The sequence below is a fragment of the Homo sapiens genome, chromosome 2, assembly GCF_000001405.40.
Source record: "Homo sapiens chromosome 2, GRCh38.p14 Primary Assembly".
Lineage (NCBI taxonomy): Eukaryota > Metazoa > Chordata > Mammalia > Primates > Hominidae > Homo > Homo sapiens.
This window is the reverse complement of record NC_000002.12, coordinates 68,112,167-68,129,804: the sequence shown is the minus strand read 5'-3', so window position 1 is coordinate 68,129,804 and position 17,638 is coordinate 68,112,167. Positions and strand designations below refer to the sequence as shown.

The following is a 17,638-nucleotide window of genomic DNA, read 5'->3' as shown; positions in this document are numbered from 1 at the left end:
TTTTGCTTTATAAATGCTTAATTAGTAGTTTTAATTCACTTTGTTTCTTTAATGTTCAACATATCTTTAGCTAAGCCTTTTGGAATTATTGACTTTACCACATTTTCATTAAGCCTACCCTCCCCCACCTCCATTGAAGAGAACGCAGCCACCTAAAACATTCACAATATGTAAAGTATATGTGATTTCAGGGGATCATGGAGAGTCACTTATTTGGAATATTAAGTTAAGAAAATTAAGGTTTTTTTTTTTTTAGTTTAGAAAATTTTTAGAAGTCTCTCTTAGAACACTTGTATTTGGTAATAGAGTCAACAACAATAAATACCTGTATTTTATTAAATCTAAGATGTCATCAATATCACTGATGCTATGCCATTCAAGAAAACGGAGCCAACTAAAACATTCATAATATGCAAAATTTATGTGATTTCAGGTGATCATGGAGAGTCACTTATTTGGAATATTACGTTGAGAAAATTAAGCTTTTTTTTTGTTGTTGTTTCCAAATTTTTTTTTTTTTTTTTTTTGAGGCAAATTTTTTTTTTTTCTTGTTCTGTCACCCAGGCGGGAGTGCAGTGTCATGATCTCGGCTCACCTGCAACCTCTGCCTCCCGGGTTCAAGCAATGCTTCTGCCTCAGTCTCCCGAGTAGCTGGGATTACAGGCATGCACTACCATGTCCTGCTAATTTTTGTATTTTTAGTAGAGATAGGGTTTCACCATGTTGGCCAGGTTGGTCTTGAACTCCTGACCTCAGGTGATCCGCCCGCCTCAGCCTCCCAAAGTGTTGGGATTACAGACGTGAGTCACCGCACCCAGCCCCAATGTTTTATAGAACAATGGGATATAATTATGAAAGTAAAAATTAAATTGAACTTTTAAAAAAGTTTATATCTACTTTTTTTTAATTTGCAAAGAAAAAAATGGAAAATTTGTGGAAATCTCTCCTAGGACACTTGTATTTGGTAATATAATAGAATCAACAACAATAAACACCTGTATTTCATTAAATCTAAGATGTCATTGATATCACTGATGCTAGGCTGGTATGATGAAACTGTGATAAAATCCTTTCTTTTTATCACTATTTGCTTTATATTAATTGAGTGTTCTTTTAATTTTATTTACACATAGTTTTTTTTCCATTGTGTATCACTTGTGTGCATCCTTAAAAAGAACCACATAAACAGGAGACTATTATTCTAGGTAAGGTAACTCAGGAATGGAAAACCAAACATTGTATGTTCTCATAAGTGGGAGCTAAGCTATGAGGATGCAGAGGCATGAGAATGACACACTGGGCTTTGGGGACTCGGGGAAAGATGGGAAGGGTGTGAGGGATCAAAGACTACAAATCAGGTTCAGTGTTTACTGCTCGGGTGATGGGCGCACCAAAATCTCACAGATCACCACTAAAGAACCTACTCATGTAACCAAATACCACCTGTTCCCCCCAAACTTATGGAAATAAAAAAATTAAAGAAAAATTTATACAAAATAAATTTGGTATGCTATTCCTTAGATTCCTTCATATTCAGAGTTTAATTCTTCTAAATCACTTTTTGAATTCAGAGCCATCAGTGTTCATGGTTTTCCTTATAATATTGTCCTTTGTGCATAAAAGTGTTTGTGATGTAGCATTTCTTTAAAACATGTTCCACTATTGCCTTCAGGGTTTTCTTTCAATTCACTGACACTTCTTCAACATGTTTTTGTGTATACATACATGCAGGCAGTGACAACTGTCAAGACTGCAGCCTGGCTGACCACGATTATTTCAGTTCCCTATTGCTGTATAACAAACCACTGCAGACCTTCATATCTTAAACACTAACTATCATTTATTTTGCTTAGGAGTCTATGATTTGGGCAGGGTTCAGCAAGGAAGGCTCATCTATGCTCCATATAGCATGAGGCAGGCAGCTCTACTAAAGGCTGGTGGACCTGCTTCCAAGATGGCACTCACTCATATTGCTTGCAAGTTGGTGCTGGCTGTTAGCTGGGACCTCAACCAGATCTGAGAAGCAAGGGCTGAGCTCGCCACATGGCATAGGGTTCCTGAGCATGGTGGCCAGGTTCCAAGGGTGAGCATCCCAAGAGAAGACCAGGCAGAAGCTATCTTGTTTTTTTAATGACCTATCTTCATAATTTACTTAGCAATCACTTTGCCACACTATTAGTTGAGGCAATCACAACCTCCTATCCCAAGTGCAAGGGCAGAGTACATACATTCTACTTCCTTTTTCTTTGTGTGTGTGTGTGTGTGAGACAAGGTCTTACTCTGTTGCTCTGTTGCCCAGGCTGGAGTGCAGTGGCACCATCATTGCTCACTGCAGCCTCAACCTCCTGGGCTTAAAGAATCCTCCCACCTCAGCTACCAGAATAGCTAGGACTACAGGTGTATGCTGCCACACCCAGCTAAATGTTTAAAATTCCCTGTGGAGATGAAGTAAATTCTACTTTTTGATGGGGTCTTGGCTAGGTTCTGAAAGAGCATGTGAGCTGGGCGTGGTGGCTCACGCCTGTAATCCCAGCACTTTGGGAGGCCAAGGCAGGTGGATCACCTGAGGTCAGGAGTTTGAGACCAGCCTGGCCAACATGGTGAAACCCTGTCTCTACTAAAAATACAAAAATTATCCGGGCGTGGTCATACACCCCTGTAATCCCAGTTACTTGGGAGGCTGAGGTGGGAGAATTGCTTGAACCTGGGAGGCGGAGTGTGCAGTGAGCTGAGATTGTGCCACTGGACTCCAGCCTGTGCGACAGAGTGAGACCCCCATCTCAAAAAACAGAAAAAAAAAAAAAAAAAAAAAAAAAAAAGCATGTGAGACTTGAAATACTGTGGCTAGTTTTGGAAAAGACAATCTGGTGTAGTGATTATAAGATGCATCCTAATTTCAAAGATGCATAAATGGGCAGAAGGATGTGCTCATTTGAATTGATGAAATACATTGCTTCAAATGCAGATACTCCTATCCCATCTACGTACACCCTTCCCTTCCCCTAATTTATTGCAGACATGACTAATCAATCATGCCACTCATTCTTCCTGAGCCTCAGAAGCTTTATCACACTCTGCTAGGAGCCACTACCAACTGCTGGCAAGTGAGATAAAATGGGTTTACTCTCCTGAATCTAGAGAATGATGCCCTGTGAAAAACAGGTAGCCTCCTGGACCAGGAGTCATTGGACTCTCCTCTCTCCTAATCCGTGGCTTTGTGTTTCAGTATGCCAAGAAATGATGAGGCTCTCCAGCACTAGACCATGTAAACCAAACTGATGCAAAAACCAAAATGGCGCATCATTCATATGTAGTGAGGGATGAACCCTTAGGTGCCAAAATGCCTAGGTTTGCCAAATGAGAACCTTGTTCATCTCCATTTATCTGAGATTCTGTGTAATTGTTTTGAAGTCTTTCTGTGAGAGTGGAATTAGAGACAGGTGTTGACAGTATTTAAAATAATGCATCCAGACCTTAGCGAAGCCTAAAAAAAAACAACCGTCTCAGAACCCTGAAGCTCTAGGCTATTGTGCAATTTTTACTGCAAATATGTTTCCATTCTTTAACTTACAGCACTTCGCTAAGTGTGGTGGTAAATTATAGAGTGTTTTAGTAAGGGATTTCTGGAATAATTCTTATGGGGTGGCCTGGAACCTTCCAGGGAAATGCTACTTTGTAATTAGTTTTTCTTTTTTCCTTTGGCCACCAGACTGTCCTCTAAAGTAAGTGAAACATGCAGGCTTCGGATATGAAGCTGGGTTGTGCAACCTGATTATAACAGCAATCTGCAATCAGGCGCTATGGCTCGTTTGAAAAATATGTGGGCAATTGGCTTTTAGCTATGCTTTTGTTGCTGTTGTTATTATTTAGTTTTTATTTCATAATCATAAACTTAACTCTGCAATCCAGCTAGGCATGGAAGGGAATAAGGAAAGCATGGAACTGCAGCGGGAGTACAAAGATTCTAGGATACTACGAGCAAATGGGGTGGAGGGGTGCTCTCCTGAGCTACAGAAGGAATGGTCTGGTGGTTAAGACAAAACACAAGTCAAACTGATTAGAGTTGTCCACAGTCAGCGATGGTGATCTTGCTGGTCTTGCCATTCCTGGACCCAAAGTGCTCCATGGCCTCCACAATATTCATGCCTTCTTTCACCTTGCCATAGACTACATGGTTGCCATCCAACCACTCAGTCTTGGCAGTGCAGATGAAAAACTGGGAACCATCTGTGTTGGGTCCAGCGTTTGCTATGGACAAGATGCCAGGACCTTTATGCTTCAGGATGAAGTTCTCGTCATCAAATTTCTCCCCATAGATGGACCAGTGCCATTATGGCGTGTGAAGTCACCACCCTGACACATAAACCCTGGAATAATTGTGTGAAAGCAGGAACCCTTATACCCAAATCCTTTCTCTCCAGTGCTCAGAGCACAGAAGTTTTCTGCTGTCTTTGGAATCTTGTCTGCAAACAGCTTGATGGAGATGCGGCCCAAGGGCTCACTGTCGATGGCAATTTCTAAGAACACGGTGGAGTTGACCACGCTGGTAGTACAGGGCTTCCGGTGGCGTTGGCATCTGCTAGCTATGTTTTTTTAAAAGGCAGGTTGGTTATGCTTACCCAGGAAACCTCTATCTCCGAATGTCTGGCCACTCTCACTGTGTTGTGGAGCCCCACCTCCCTGCTTTGGATGAGACTAGACTGCCAGGCGCCATTCTCAGGGCCATACCCAGCAGTCCCAATAAAACGGGGCTTAATGCTGCTCTGAGAGCTTGGGGGCACTGGGCCCATGCTGCACTCAGACTTATCAGGACCTGCTAACAGAAGTCCTGTGCATTGTCCAACCAGCTGAGGACTCAGGGCTGCTAGGACAATGTCCTCTATTATTCCACCCTAAGTACCTGCATATTGCCTGGAGTGGTGAGAAATTCTTTACTCATCCATTTTCCCTACTGGGTCTAGGATGGACAAATGGCAGTATGAAAACTGTGAATCTTTGTTACTGTGTAGGGATCTAGAGGCTAAACCCTTGTCCTCAACCCCAGAACCAGAAAAATGGTTATTAATCAGGACAGCACAGTGAAAGCAGATGCAGATTATCCTCACAGTGCATGGCCATTAATGCAGTTGTCCATAGGTTTTGTATATTTTACATCAAACATCAAGCTTGAATGAAGGAACAGGATTTTGACTTTGTGTTTTTAACTTGAAGCATGAGATTCTAGGTAAAAGGGCTGTGACCAAGTACAGCTGCATTTATACAGTCATGGTGGAGGAATTTTATGAAGGATTCTTTAACAACTGAACTTTGCTTATGGTGTTCTGATCCAACTCTATCCCTAAGCCAACTTAAAACCAGATCACTCAGCAATACCCTTTATACAACACTTTTTTATTTTAATTGAGACTGAGTCTTGCTCTGTCACCCAGGAAGAGTGCAGTGGCGTGATCTTGGCTCACTGTAACCTCCGCCTCCTGGGTTCAAGCACTTCTCCCACCTCAGCCTCCCAAGTAGCTGGGATTACAGGCATGTGCCACCACGCGCAGTTAATTTTTTTTATTTTTAGTAGGGATGGGGTTTCGCCATGTTGGCCAGGCTGGTCTCAAACTCCTCACCTCAAGTGATCTGCCTGCCTCGGCCTCCCAAAGTGCTGGGATTATAGGCATGAGCCACTGCCCCTGGCCCCTTAATACAACATTTAATAAATGTTGGGCCAGGCGCAGTGGCTTACGCTTGTAATCCTAGCACTTTGGGAGGCCAGGAGTTCAAGACCAGCCTGGGCAACATAGTGAGACACTGTCTCTACAGAAAATTTTTTTTTTAAATTAGCTGGGTGTGGTAGCACAGCTTATAGTCCCAGCTGCTTGGGAGGCTGAGGCAGGAGGATCACTTGAGCCAAGGAGGTTGAAGCTGCAGTGAGTGGTGACTGTGTTACTGCACTCCAGCCTGGGGAAAATGAGAGACCCTGTCTCAAAAATAAATAAATAAATAAAAGCAAATGTTGGTGGGTGATTAAAATGATAAAATAATGATAAAACAAGTAATTAGGAAAAAAAAGTCCATCTTAACCTCTGGCCTGTTTTTTGAAGGCATTGTTGTTGATTAGGGTTAGGTTCAGCTGCGGGTAACTGAAAACCCAAAATAAAGATTACGCATTATCCAGTGTGCCTGTTCCAGTTGAACCATCACATCCACATTCCAGACATCAGAAAAGTAGGAAAAGTAAGAAAAAGAACATCTTGCACTTTGAAGAGCACTTTTGCTTGTATCCATTGGTGATGATTTGGTCCTGTGTCTCGGTCTCACCTATCACAGTGAGACCGAGAAGCATAAACCTGATTGTGTGCAGTGTTATACCCGGCTACCATTTGGGAGTTCTGGTCCTGAGGAAGTAGGGAAATGGATGTTGGGAGGTGTAACTGGATTCTGCCGCCCTGACAGAGCCGTCAAGCACGGCCTCCCTGGCTGCGTCCTCCCATGAGGTGAAAACTAGGGCGCTACCAATGCGTGCTTCCTTAGGCCAGATCTGGGTCTTGGCACCCAATACTCCCTTTTGGCAATTGTATCTTCTCCATCAGCTCTTGTAAACCAGACACCATGGAATCCCTTGGTTTTTTAAGTTACTTTTATTATCCTTTATGTGCACCAATGCAAGCCCAGCCCAGTACAAAAACAGGAAAGGAAAACTCCCCCTACACACTCAAATTGATCTTCATACTACATTTCTTTTCTTGGGAATTTGTTTGTACTTAATAATAACTTCTTTCGAATCCCAAATACCTTTTCCACTCAGGGGCAGTACAAAGTCACGCGCAGTAGAACATGAACGGCGCAGCTTACCTCATGCGTGTCCATAAACTCACCAAAGGAACTTGAAGGGAGAACAGTGTCTTTATGATCCGGCGTGTCTTGGTACCTGCTTAAAGTCACTTTTGCTTGTGATTTAGCTGGATACACTTTGCATATATACATGAAAAATAATTTTTTTTCTGGGAATGTCTAAGGACTATCCAACACACAAAATGATTTCATCCTTTTCTGAATGAGAACAGCCCGAAAGTTTCTGGCAAATACGCAGGGTTCGTGAGATATGAAATTCAATTATGTCGTGGTACATAAGGTCCGCCTCTTCACGACTTTCAGTGGATTTTCTTCCCCTGGGAAGGAGGCCCCTCAGCCGCACGTTCCGAATCCCAGGCCGTCCTTGTACCTGAAGACCCAGTGGTGCGCTGCCCCCTTGTGGGAGATGTGGGCATTGCAGACCTTTCAACACAAGGAAACGGAATTTGTCTTTCAAATGCAGCTGGAAAAATCTATCCTGTTTAATTCCCAGGAGGCACGCAAGCCAAACTGGACCTTGAGAAAGACATTATCTTACAGAAATGTCTTCCAAAAATGTGATTGTGTTTATGAAGAAAACCCACTTTGTATATAACAACACTGCATAGCATGCCTATGCTTCTTTTTACAGAATGGGTTTTTTAACCAAAAGTTGGATCATTAGCTTTATTATAGATTCAGTCTTACTGGTAGCATCACAAGGCTAACTTCCAAGAGAAAATATTTGGCTTTTTATAAAGTGAGGAATTATTTTGTAAAGTAAATAGTACATGCCTCTATCTCCTACCAACCGTTTATTCTGTAAATTCTGATTTTAACGAAGCATTTCTCAGAGTAAGGACTTCTTTATACCATCACTTAACTTCCTGCAGGAATTCTAGAATTTCTCTCCATCTTCTTTGCACCAGATCCAATGTTTTGTTTTGTTTTGTTTTGTTTGAGACAGAGTTTTGCTCTTGTTGCCCAGGCTGGAGTGCAATGGCACGATCTCAGCTCACTGCAACCTCCGCCTCCTGGGTTCAAGCGATTCTCCTGACTCAGCCTCCCAAGTAGCTGAGATTACAGGCGCCCACCACCACGCCCGGCTAATTTTTGTATTTTTAGTAGAGACGGGGTTTCTCCATGTTGATCAGGCTGGTCTCGAACTCCTGACCTCGAGTGATCCGCCTGCCTCGGCCTCCCAAAGTGCTGGGATTACAGGCATGAACCACCGTGCGCAGCCATATAGCCACTGTTTTTAAAAGCCATTTCTGCACTACCAAGTTAGTGAGTAGCAGCCCTCCACCTGCCCACCTTTGGCGTATGGACCATGCAGCTAAAAGAAGCAACACAAAATAAACTGTGGTCAAAAGAGACTCACAGTTCTCCCTCACACCGGAGGCTGAAGACACTCACACTTCCTCCTTTTAAGTCTTCAACTTTTCTTCTTTATGACACCCAAGGCTTTCATGGCCAGTCAGAACGTCAGTGCCAGAAGAGGCCTTTGAGACCTCTGCACTCAATTTCTGCATTTGAAGACAGACCCAGGCCCTCATCTCCTGACCCCTCATCCAGTGATATTCTCCTGCACCTCCCTGAGGAGTTGCTCAACACTCTGATCCCTCCGAGAAGCCTGGGGTACCTCTAAATTTAACATGCCAGAAACCGAGAACTCTATGCAAACAACACCACTGCTCAGAGGTGATAAGGGTAAGCAAATAAACCACCAGGGAGAAACAGAAGCAGAGTTTTGGCTCTCACCACCCTGTAGATAAACAAGTGTTTGATCTGGGCTGAGCACATCCCTCATCTGGTGAGAGATAACATTCACACTCAGAGGGAGTCTGTGCTTGCAGCCAACAGGTTTGGAACCCTATTGAGCGCTGACCTGGCCGCACACAGACTGAACTAGGGCTCAGGAATGATGGACCAGGGGAAATTTTGTTACCACCCAGGGGGAAAGAGAGGGTCTTCCTGCATTCCTAAGAGCTCACAGGCTAAAGGGCCCTAAGAAAGCAGACACAGAAGACACAGAAGCCTCAGCTAAGGGGGAGTCCTGACGGCCACAGTCCCCACTAATCCACTATGGGCCACTTAGGGCTTGTTGTGAATTTTCCAATCTGTTCCGTAAAGCTTCCTAGGAAGAATGTCAGAAGCCTTATTCTCTTGCTCTCGGTTGAGGCTATGGAAGCTAAAGAAAGCAGTATATGCCAGGCGAGGTGGCTCACACCTGTAATCCCATCACTTTGGGAGGCCAAGGCAGGTGGATCAATTGAGGCCAGAAGTTTGAGACCAGCCTGGCCAACATGGTGAAACCCCATCTCTATTAAAATACAAAAAATTAGCTGCATGTGGTGGCATGCACCTGTAGTCCCAGCTACTTAGGAGGCTGAGGCAGGAGAATCGCTTGAACCTGGGAGGCAGAGGTTGCAGTGAGCTGAGATCACGCCACTGCACTCCAGCCTGGGTGACAGAGTGAGACTCCATCTCCAAAAAAAAAAAAAAAGAAAGAAAGAAAGACAGTGAATGAGGAGTAAACTTGGAGGGAAACCAGTGGCCTGTCTCTAGAGTCTTGATCAGGATCACATTTATAAAGATGATAATGTTGACAATAATAATAATAGCTGCTAATATTTGTGGAGTGCTTACTATATTGTTTCTCTCATGTTGTATTTTTAAATCCCCACCACAAAACTCTGGGGTAAATACTATAGTTTGTTGTTGTTGTTGTTTTGAGATGGAGTCACTCTGTTGCCCAGGCTGGAGTGCACTGGCATGATCTCGGCTCACTGCAACCTCCACCACCCAGGTTCAAGCGATTCTCCTGCCTCAGCCTCCCGAGTAGCTGGGATTACAGGCGTGAGCCACCATGTCTGGCTAATTTTTGTACTTTTAGTAGACATGGGGTTTCACCATGTTGGCCAGGCTGGTCTTGAACTCCTAACCTCAGGTGATCCACATGCCTTGGCCTCCCAAAGTGCTGGGATTACAGGCGTGATAATAAACTCTTAACCTCACCATTTTTGTATATAAGTGGAGGTCGTCAGAGCACTTTTTTCATCCATTTTGCTACTTGGACTTAAGGATGAAAGTCCTATTACAAACTGTTGTCACAGTGAATGTTGGCATTGGGAAGGGTGCTGGGGAGAACAGGGAAAGAGCACAGGAGCCTGAAAGGGGAGGAGGGGGAAGGGATTTCCACACACTCTCGCCACAGCCTGTTACCGTCTCCACGGCAGCAGAGCAGCAGGTTGCCTCCCCATGCCCACTCTCCCCTCCCGCCTCAACAACAGGAGCCCATTTTAATCACAGCACATAATAAAGACTGTATCTCCCAGTCTCCCTATCAGCAAGGTGTGGACACTGTGGAGCATGAGGATGGGCCTGTCGTCCAGAGGGGGTAAAAACAAAAGCATAAGGAGTCTGGCCCTGGTGATCTGGGAGCCACCATACCTGCCCTAGGCTGTTTACCTTGATGACTTTGACAATAGACAAAAATACTTGTTTCTTGTTTAAGCCAATAAGAGGTTAGGGCTTTCCCTTGTATTCATGAATGAATGTCTTCGTACATTTTGTGATGCTATAAAAGAATACCTGAGGCTGGGTAATTTATAAAAGAAAGACGCTTATTTAGCTCACAGTGCTGCAGGCTGAGAAGTTCAAGGGCACAGCCCCGGCTTCTGGTGAGGTCCCTCACTCATGCTGCCTCACAAGATGGTGGAGAACGTCAGAGGGGAAGCAGACATGTGAGAAGAGAGGGAAAGCCGAAGGGCGTCTGACTTTATAACAACCCACTCTCGGGAATGAATCCATCCCCACGAGAACTAATTCAGTCTCACAAGAGACAGAGCTCACTACTGGGAGAACAGCACCAAGCCATTTATGAGGGATCCACCGCTATCACCCAAACACTTCCCACTAGACCCCGTGCCCCAAGAGCACCACATCGGGGCTCAAATTGCAACATGAGCTTTGGTGGTGACAAACCAACCATATCTAAACCACAGCAGAGACCTAATCCTAACTACTAGCTGCTAACTTCTAAAAATTTTTACAGAGGGGAAACAGGCTCAGTGAAAGTAAGTAACTTTGTCCAAAGACATGCAAATATTACCCAGCAGAATTCGGTTTTGAATCTGTCTGTCTGATCCAAGACTTCATCTTTCCAGCATGGTCTATACTAACAAATGTAATTGGACATGCGTGTATGTGGTGCTTTATAATTTGCAAATATTTTCTTATATATTATGCAGTGTCTACAGTTTGGAATTTTTTGGCTGCAAGCAACAGAAATAGACTCTGAATAACTTATATGAAAGAGGACTCTTAGGAAGATTTAGGGTAGTAAATTAGACAGAGATCAATTAGAGAAGCAAAGCACTAGGGATTTCTTTCTTTCTTTTTCCTTTTTTTTTTTTTTAGATAGTCTCCCTTCTTTGCCCAGGCTGGAATGCAATGGCACCATCTTGGCTCACTGCAACCTCTGCCTCCCAGGTTCAAGCAATTCTCCTGCCTCAGCCTCCCAAGTAGCTGTGATTACAGGCACGTGCCAGCACCCCTGGCTAATTTTTGTATTTTTAGTAGAGACAGGGTTTCATCATGTTGGCCAGGCTGGTCTTGAACTCCTGACCTCAAGTGATCTGCCCACCTCAGCCTCCCAAAGTGCTGAGATTACAGATGTGAGCCACCGCACCCGGCCTCTTTCTTTTCTTTTTTTTTTTAATAACATAATGGGTTTATATTTACTATAGTACTTCTCATCAGGAGGATGTACTCAGTTAATATAAAGTTGTTTTCTTAACATTAAATCTCTTTTCTATGTCAATGTCTATATTGTTTTTTCTGTTTTTTTATTTATTTATTTATTTATTTATTTATTTATTTATTTATTTATTTATTTTGAGACAGAGTCTTGCTCTGTAGCACAGGCTGGAGTGGTGCAGTGGCACAATCTCAGCTCACTGCAACCTCCTTCTCCCGGGTCTGGGTCCCAGTTCAAGCAATTCTCCTGCCTCAGCCTCCTGAGTAGCTGGGATTACAGGCACACGCCACCATGCCCAGCTAATTTTTGTATTTTTAGTAGAGACGGGGTTTCACCATGTTGGCGAGGCTGGTCTTGAACTCCTGACCTCAGGTGATCTGCCCTCTTCGGCCTCCCAAAGTGCTGGGATTACAGGCATGAGCCACCGGTGCCCAGTCTATAGTGTTTTTTTAATATTAAATCTTTTCTGCATTTCACTTCAATATTAGATACACTGAATACATTTTTCTAAACATTTTTCCCCCAGAGATAAAAGTTTCCATTTTTGGCTATCTGGTATCTAAATACAATATTACCTTGAAAGACAACAAAACAAAAATCGAATAAAAATATGGAGAAAAGACTCCTCAATGATTCAGGAGGCAGTGATTATAACTGAACAGTGATGGTTTCCTAAGATTCTAGGCAACAACTTCCTTCTTCCTATTTCACATGCTTTGAGAATTCTAAAACTATGAAATATTACTTGTGTCAATTTCAGCCATCTTACCTCTTTGACTTCCTTTCTAAACAGCAAATACAAATTATAGGCTGCATTTTTCAGCGCATTATTTGTTGTAAAGAAAACTTTTTTTAATGTTTATATATGTATCTGTTTGCTCCCATTTCATGGAAACCATGAAGAATGTAAAACTCCCTTATTTACTGATTCTTGGAAACTGTCAGATACCAAAGCTCAGGTTTAGCCTCAATAGCACAAAGGTTTTCAGGGTGAGGTTTGATTCAGTAAGCCCTTCAAAGTCACATCTGCCCTGTCTCTTTTCTGCATATACCTTCAAGCAAGCACAAATGCCTGTAATGCTGAGAACCACACCTAACAAGAGAGTGATTGCATCGCAGGCTTCTACTGCTTCGACAACAGGCAGCATCAAAGGCATGACATGAGGACTAAGGACAAAGGTGTTGAAACTGAGGTCATGATGTTGGAATCTTGAGGGCTGAAGGTTCCAAAGACATGGTATATAGAATTCTATTTAACTTGAAATTTTCCCTTCCTGGAGCTCTGAATGCTGCAATTTAGAGGTTCCACGTGACACTGCCTTCCAGGAAGCAGCCGTAACAGGAATCAGCACTAGGGATTTCTTACCAGGATTTGATCTTACCTACCCATGGGAGCTGCTGACACAGTCTCTGTAAGGCTCTTGCCCTCAGGTCTGATGCTGAAGCTTGCAGTCCACAGGGCAGGCAGCTGGGCCAGGGAGATGGGTGTAAGGTGGGGGTGAACAAGAAAAAGCTGGAAACCACCCGCTGGAGACCATGAGGAGGGACGGAAACCGTGCCTCTGATTTGGGTGGCATGGGTCTCCTGCAGAAGTCAGGATACTTCATCACAGTGCTAAGCAGACCTGTCTGGCTCAGAAGTCGGGAAAGCTGAAGGAGGATCCTGGGAAGGGTAGAGCAGCTACAGGCCCAGCCCCTGCCTCCTGCTGACGCGGTGAGCCAGCGGAAAGTGACAATGTGTGCAAGCTACAAAAACTGGTGCTGCTTCACTTCCACCCTGCAAATCTCACTCCAGGAGCTTCTACATGGCCCACCCTAACTGGAAACATACAGGAAAGCGAATTCTGGGAAATGTAATTCAGCCTCGCCAGGTTGGCATTTATAAAGCCAACTCAGGTAGCATGTGGAACTGAGGGGAAAGCTCAAGAATCAGGTTTCGGACAGGAAAGAAAGCAAAGGAGCTCAGGGGTTTGGTGTGGCAGATGGGCACTCATGCTCTAAGTCTTTGAATTGCCTCCAACTGAATTTCCTCCTTGTATTGCTCAAATTCCCAGGGCAGAGTCCAGCTGGCTCATGTGGGTCATGTACTTACTCTTTGGCCAGAGGAGGGTGGACAGTTGGTTGACTGTCCAATATTGTTGCATGCAATGGGGGAGTGGTGGTCCCCCAAATGGAAATCAAAGCACTGTCATGAGAGTGAGGGAAGTGGATGCTGGGCAGGCAGACGTGGTGAATGCTCACTGCCCCATGAATGCTACAGAATAAGGAGGCAGGAGGCATTGAAAACCAATTTGTTTGCTGCTCATGTCAGCTTCTAGCCTTACTCTGAGGTCAAACTTTTGGAGAGTGGAGACAACATCTTTCTCATACTTTTCCCCATACCTAATCATAACAAAGGACTGAAGTTTAGGGTGAAGATAGCAAAGCAGCCCCAGAATCAGGGCTTCTGGTTACCACTCTTCTTTCTGTCAGGGGTGCGTGTGGTGTGCATGTGGTGTGTGTGTGTGCACATGCACTTTCTAGAAGGGTACAAAACCTTTCAGATGATCAGAGTGACTCCCTAGAGGTTACCACCTACTGCTTTAGGTTTGGTGTAACTCTGCAATTCTGTATGTTGAATCAATTGATATTTATCAAAGATGCATTAAGAAGCTGTGTAGTGTAGTAATTAAGTCTGGGCTCTGGAGCCCAGAATGCCTGAGTTAAAATCCTAATTCTACCCCTTCCTAGCCAATTGAGGAAGTTCCTTAACCTTTTTATGCCTTGCTTTCCTCATCTGTAAAATAGGGGTAATGATCATAGTTACCTCACAGGTTTGTTGTGAGGATTTAATGATTAGTGCATGTAATGGTCTTAGGGCTGTGACTGGCCTACGGTATGTGCTCAACACAAATTTAGTTACTATTTCCCAGCATTGCTTCAGGATCTGTGGAAGGGTGGGACACAATCTCTGATTTTGAAGAACTTAAAATTTAATTGGAGACAAGAGCGACATATGGAAACAAGAGCCAACAACTGTGGCATTAAGTGTGAAATTGTGTGGTGCCAGCATGTACAGAAATTGAGAAGGGGTCAGAGCAGTGAAGGACGCGGAAGCTAAGGAAGGCTGGACAGAGAGGAAGAAGACTTGGCCTGGGGTGGAGGGATGGTGGGACAGGCCAGGGGAGATCAGCTGGAGTGAAGATGTTGATGATGGGAATGCATGTGGCATGTTGGGAGAAAGAGAGACACTGATCACAGAGAAAGAGGCTGTGGTTGTGTTAGTAATGACTTTTTGGCTTCAAGATGCAGGAACCCAACTCACACTGAGTTAATACAAAAAGAGGAGGTATGAAACCATGAAGTGCAGGGATAAATTATCTTCTGGCATGGCTGAGTGAAATGTGCAAAGCTCAAATCATGCTGCCAGGGCAGTGTCTATTAGAGTCTTGGATCTCTTTCCTCTGGGTTGACTGTATTCTCAGGCAGGCTTTCCCTCCACAGTGGCAAAAATGACTGGGTGTATATCATCCCAGCTGAGCAACCCCAGTGGGCAGAGAACAATTTCCCCTCCATCAGTTCCTGCAAAAGCCTTGGGATTGAGGCTCATTGGCCTGGCTGGGTTACCGGCCCATCCTTGAGCTAATTGTGACAGTCAAGGAGAATGGGTGCTCTCATTATTCAGGCCCAATCATGAGCCCACAAATTTCAAACAACAGAGAGGGTATTGCGGTAGTTCCCACAGCAAAGTCAGGCTGCCGCCATGAGAAGGGGAACTGACACTGGGCAGGCGAGGACAGCAAATGCCTTTAGAGCGCTCAGTTCCAGCCTGGCTCTTCATGAACTCTAGATCTTTGGACAAGTCATTCCACCTTTGCAGGCCTCTACCTGCAACCCGAAAAACGGGCGGTGGAGAGTCTGCCAGTCAAACGGGATAAGGTCTGCATAGGCTCTCTGAAGAGACAGAGCCGCCTGCAAATCTTAAGAGCCATTGCTAAGAGGAGACCAGCCTGATCAGACAAGAAAGAACACTTAGAGCAAGTATATGTGTGTGTGTTTATGTTGTTTTGTTTTTTGAGATGGAGTCTTGCTCTGTCACCCAGGCTGGAGGGCAGTGACTGGATCTCCACTTGCTGCAACCTCCGCCTCCCGGCTTCAAGCAATTCTTCTGCCTCAGCCTCCCGAGTAGCTGGGACTACAGGCACGTGCCACTACATGCAGCTATTTTGTGTGTGTGTGTGTGTGTGTGTGTGTGTGTGTGTGTGTTTTTAGTAGAGATGGGGTTTCACTATGTTGGCCAGCCTGGTCTTGAACTCCTGACCTCAAGTGATCCGCCTGCCTCAGCCTTCCAAAGTGTTGGGATTACAGGCGTGAGCCACCGCACCTGGCCTTGTTTTGTTTTTTGAGACAGGGTCTCACTCTGTCACCCAGGCTGGAGTGCAGTGGTGCAATCATGGCTCACTGCAGCTCCTCTTAGGCTCAAGCAATCCTTCCAACTCAGCCTCCTGAGTAGCTGGGACTACAGACATGTGCCACCATGCACAGCTAATTTTTTATTTTTTGTATAGACAGGGTCTCCCTATGTTGCCCAGGCTGGTGTTGAACTCCTGGACTCAAGCAGTCCTCCTGCCTTGGCCTCCCAAAGTGTTGGGGTTACAGTCCTGAGCCATGGCGCCCAGCCAGAGTAAGTATGTGAGAAATAAAGTGCCTAGGATGGGTGTCACAGAACCCTGAAGAGGACATAGGAACAAAGACAAGGGACTCCTCAAGGGCAGGGGAATATGCCCCATGGTGCCATGCTGGGCAGCTAGTGTGGGTGCTGAGTAACTATTTGATGTTAAATATGAGGGTATAGGCCAGGTGCGGTGGCTCATACTTACAATCCCAGCACTTTGGGAGGCCGAGGCGGGTGGATCATGAGGTCAGGCGATTGAGACCAGTCCGGCTAACATGGTGAAACCCTTTCTCTACTAAAAATACAAAAAATTAGCCGGGTGTGGTGGCACGTGCCTGTAGTCCCAGCTACTTGGGAGGCTGAGGCAGAAGAATTGCTTGAACCTGGGAGGCGGATGTTGTAGTGAGCTGAGATCGCGCCACTGCACTCCAGCCTGGGAGACAGAGTGAGACTACACCTTTAAAAAAAAAAAAAAAAAAAAAAAATATATATATATATATATATATATATATATATATATATATATAGTTATATAGTTATATGAGGGCATATGTTACCAAAGGATAAATAGCTCACAAAAGAGTCAACACAGTAACAAATGCGGGCCTCAGCCCTTGGAGACTCTCATTAGTTACCAGCAGGGGAGACCAGGCTTCAGTTTGGGGTCCCAGGAACTCTCTCTCCTCATGGTTCTGTTATGAGCAACCTGGGAAAGTGAGGGGAAAATGGGGGTTGTTAAGTAGTGCAGCTCATGTCTAACGGCCAATCTGCCATGAGGAAAGGGCACGCTGAGAAGGGCTGCTCCCTTGGGCTGGGTTGTTATTTACAAGGCCTAGCAAGACCAGAGGCGGTGACCCTGGTGCTGATCCTTAGGGAGGAGTCTCTGAAGTCAAGACGGAAGCCAGTGGAAACCCAGAGGGTCAGGCACTGACTCACGAGGCCTGCTTCACACCCAATAGGCAAAGCCCCTCAAAAGAAGCCGTTCAGATCCACATGCCCGTGGTGCCCCCCACCTCAGGTGACCATCTGTCCTGGGATGCTGCTGGCCTTTTAATGTGAAAAACAGAAATTCCCAGGAAAAGCAAGATGAGTTGGTTGCCCTACCCCACCTTTATGAGCTGAATTGAATTGTCCTCTGTAGAGCCTCCCAGGAGAGGCCCAGAAGTGTGTCGGGGAGGGTGGGTACAGAGGGCAAACAGAGACAACTCGGACCTTGCCTGCCCATGCTTTGGGGGCATAAAACAAGGAAAGAAGCCAAGTTGTCTGCCTTCTGGTGGTTTGTCATTCACTTAAATGCAGGTGACCCTGTTTTGGCATTAAACATGGAAGACTTGGAAGCTAAGAGCCTGCAGCAAAGTCAGGGAAGAAGCAAAAATGCTGCCCACTGATATTTATGGGCCCCAA

At 44.9% G+C, this 17,638-nt stretch overlaps 2 pseudogenes, besides 4 other annotated features; both read right to left on the bottom strand.

Annotated features, from left to right (window-relative positions):
* Positions 1-3,992: 3,992 nt before the first annotated feature.
* Positions 3,993-6,845, bottom strand: PPIAP64 (peptidylprolyl isomerase A pseudogene 64; annotated as a pseudogene).
* Positions 7,074-7,368: an enhancer, noted in NCBI's record as "tiled region #1618; K562 Activating DNase unmatched - State 8:EnhW". NCBI's record gives its function as "activates a minimal TATA promoter and a strong SV40 promoter by Sharpr-MPRA in K562 cells {active_cell/tissue: K562}" and the evidence as "EXISTENCE:reporter gene assay evidence [ECO:0000049][PMID:27701403]".
* Positions 8,217-8,296: an enhancer, noted in NCBI's record as "active region_15944". NCBI's record gives its function as "activates an Ori minimal core promoter by ATAC-STARR-seq in GM12878 lymphoblastoid cells {active_cell/tissue: GM12878}" and the evidence as "EXISTENCE:reporter gene assay evidence [ECO:0000049][PMID:35858748]".
* Positions 8,307-8,476: an enhancer, noted in NCBI's record as "active region_15943". NCBI's record gives its function as "activates an Ori minimal core promoter by ATAC-STARR-seq in GM12878 lymphoblastoid cells {active_cell/tissue: GM12878}" and the evidence as "EXISTENCE:reporter gene assay evidence [ECO:0000049][PMID:35858748]".
* Positions 8,707-8,866: an enhancer, noted in NCBI's record as "active region_15942". NCBI's record gives its function as "activates an Ori minimal core promoter by ATAC-STARR-seq in GM12878 lymphoblastoid cells {active_cell/tissue: GM12878}" and the evidence as "EXISTENCE:reporter gene assay evidence [ECO:0000049][PMID:35858748]".
* Positions 12,523-12,779, bottom strand: LOC124906018 (small integral membrane protein 30-like; annotated as a pseudogene).
* Positions 12,780-17,638: the final 4,859 nt, after the last annotated feature.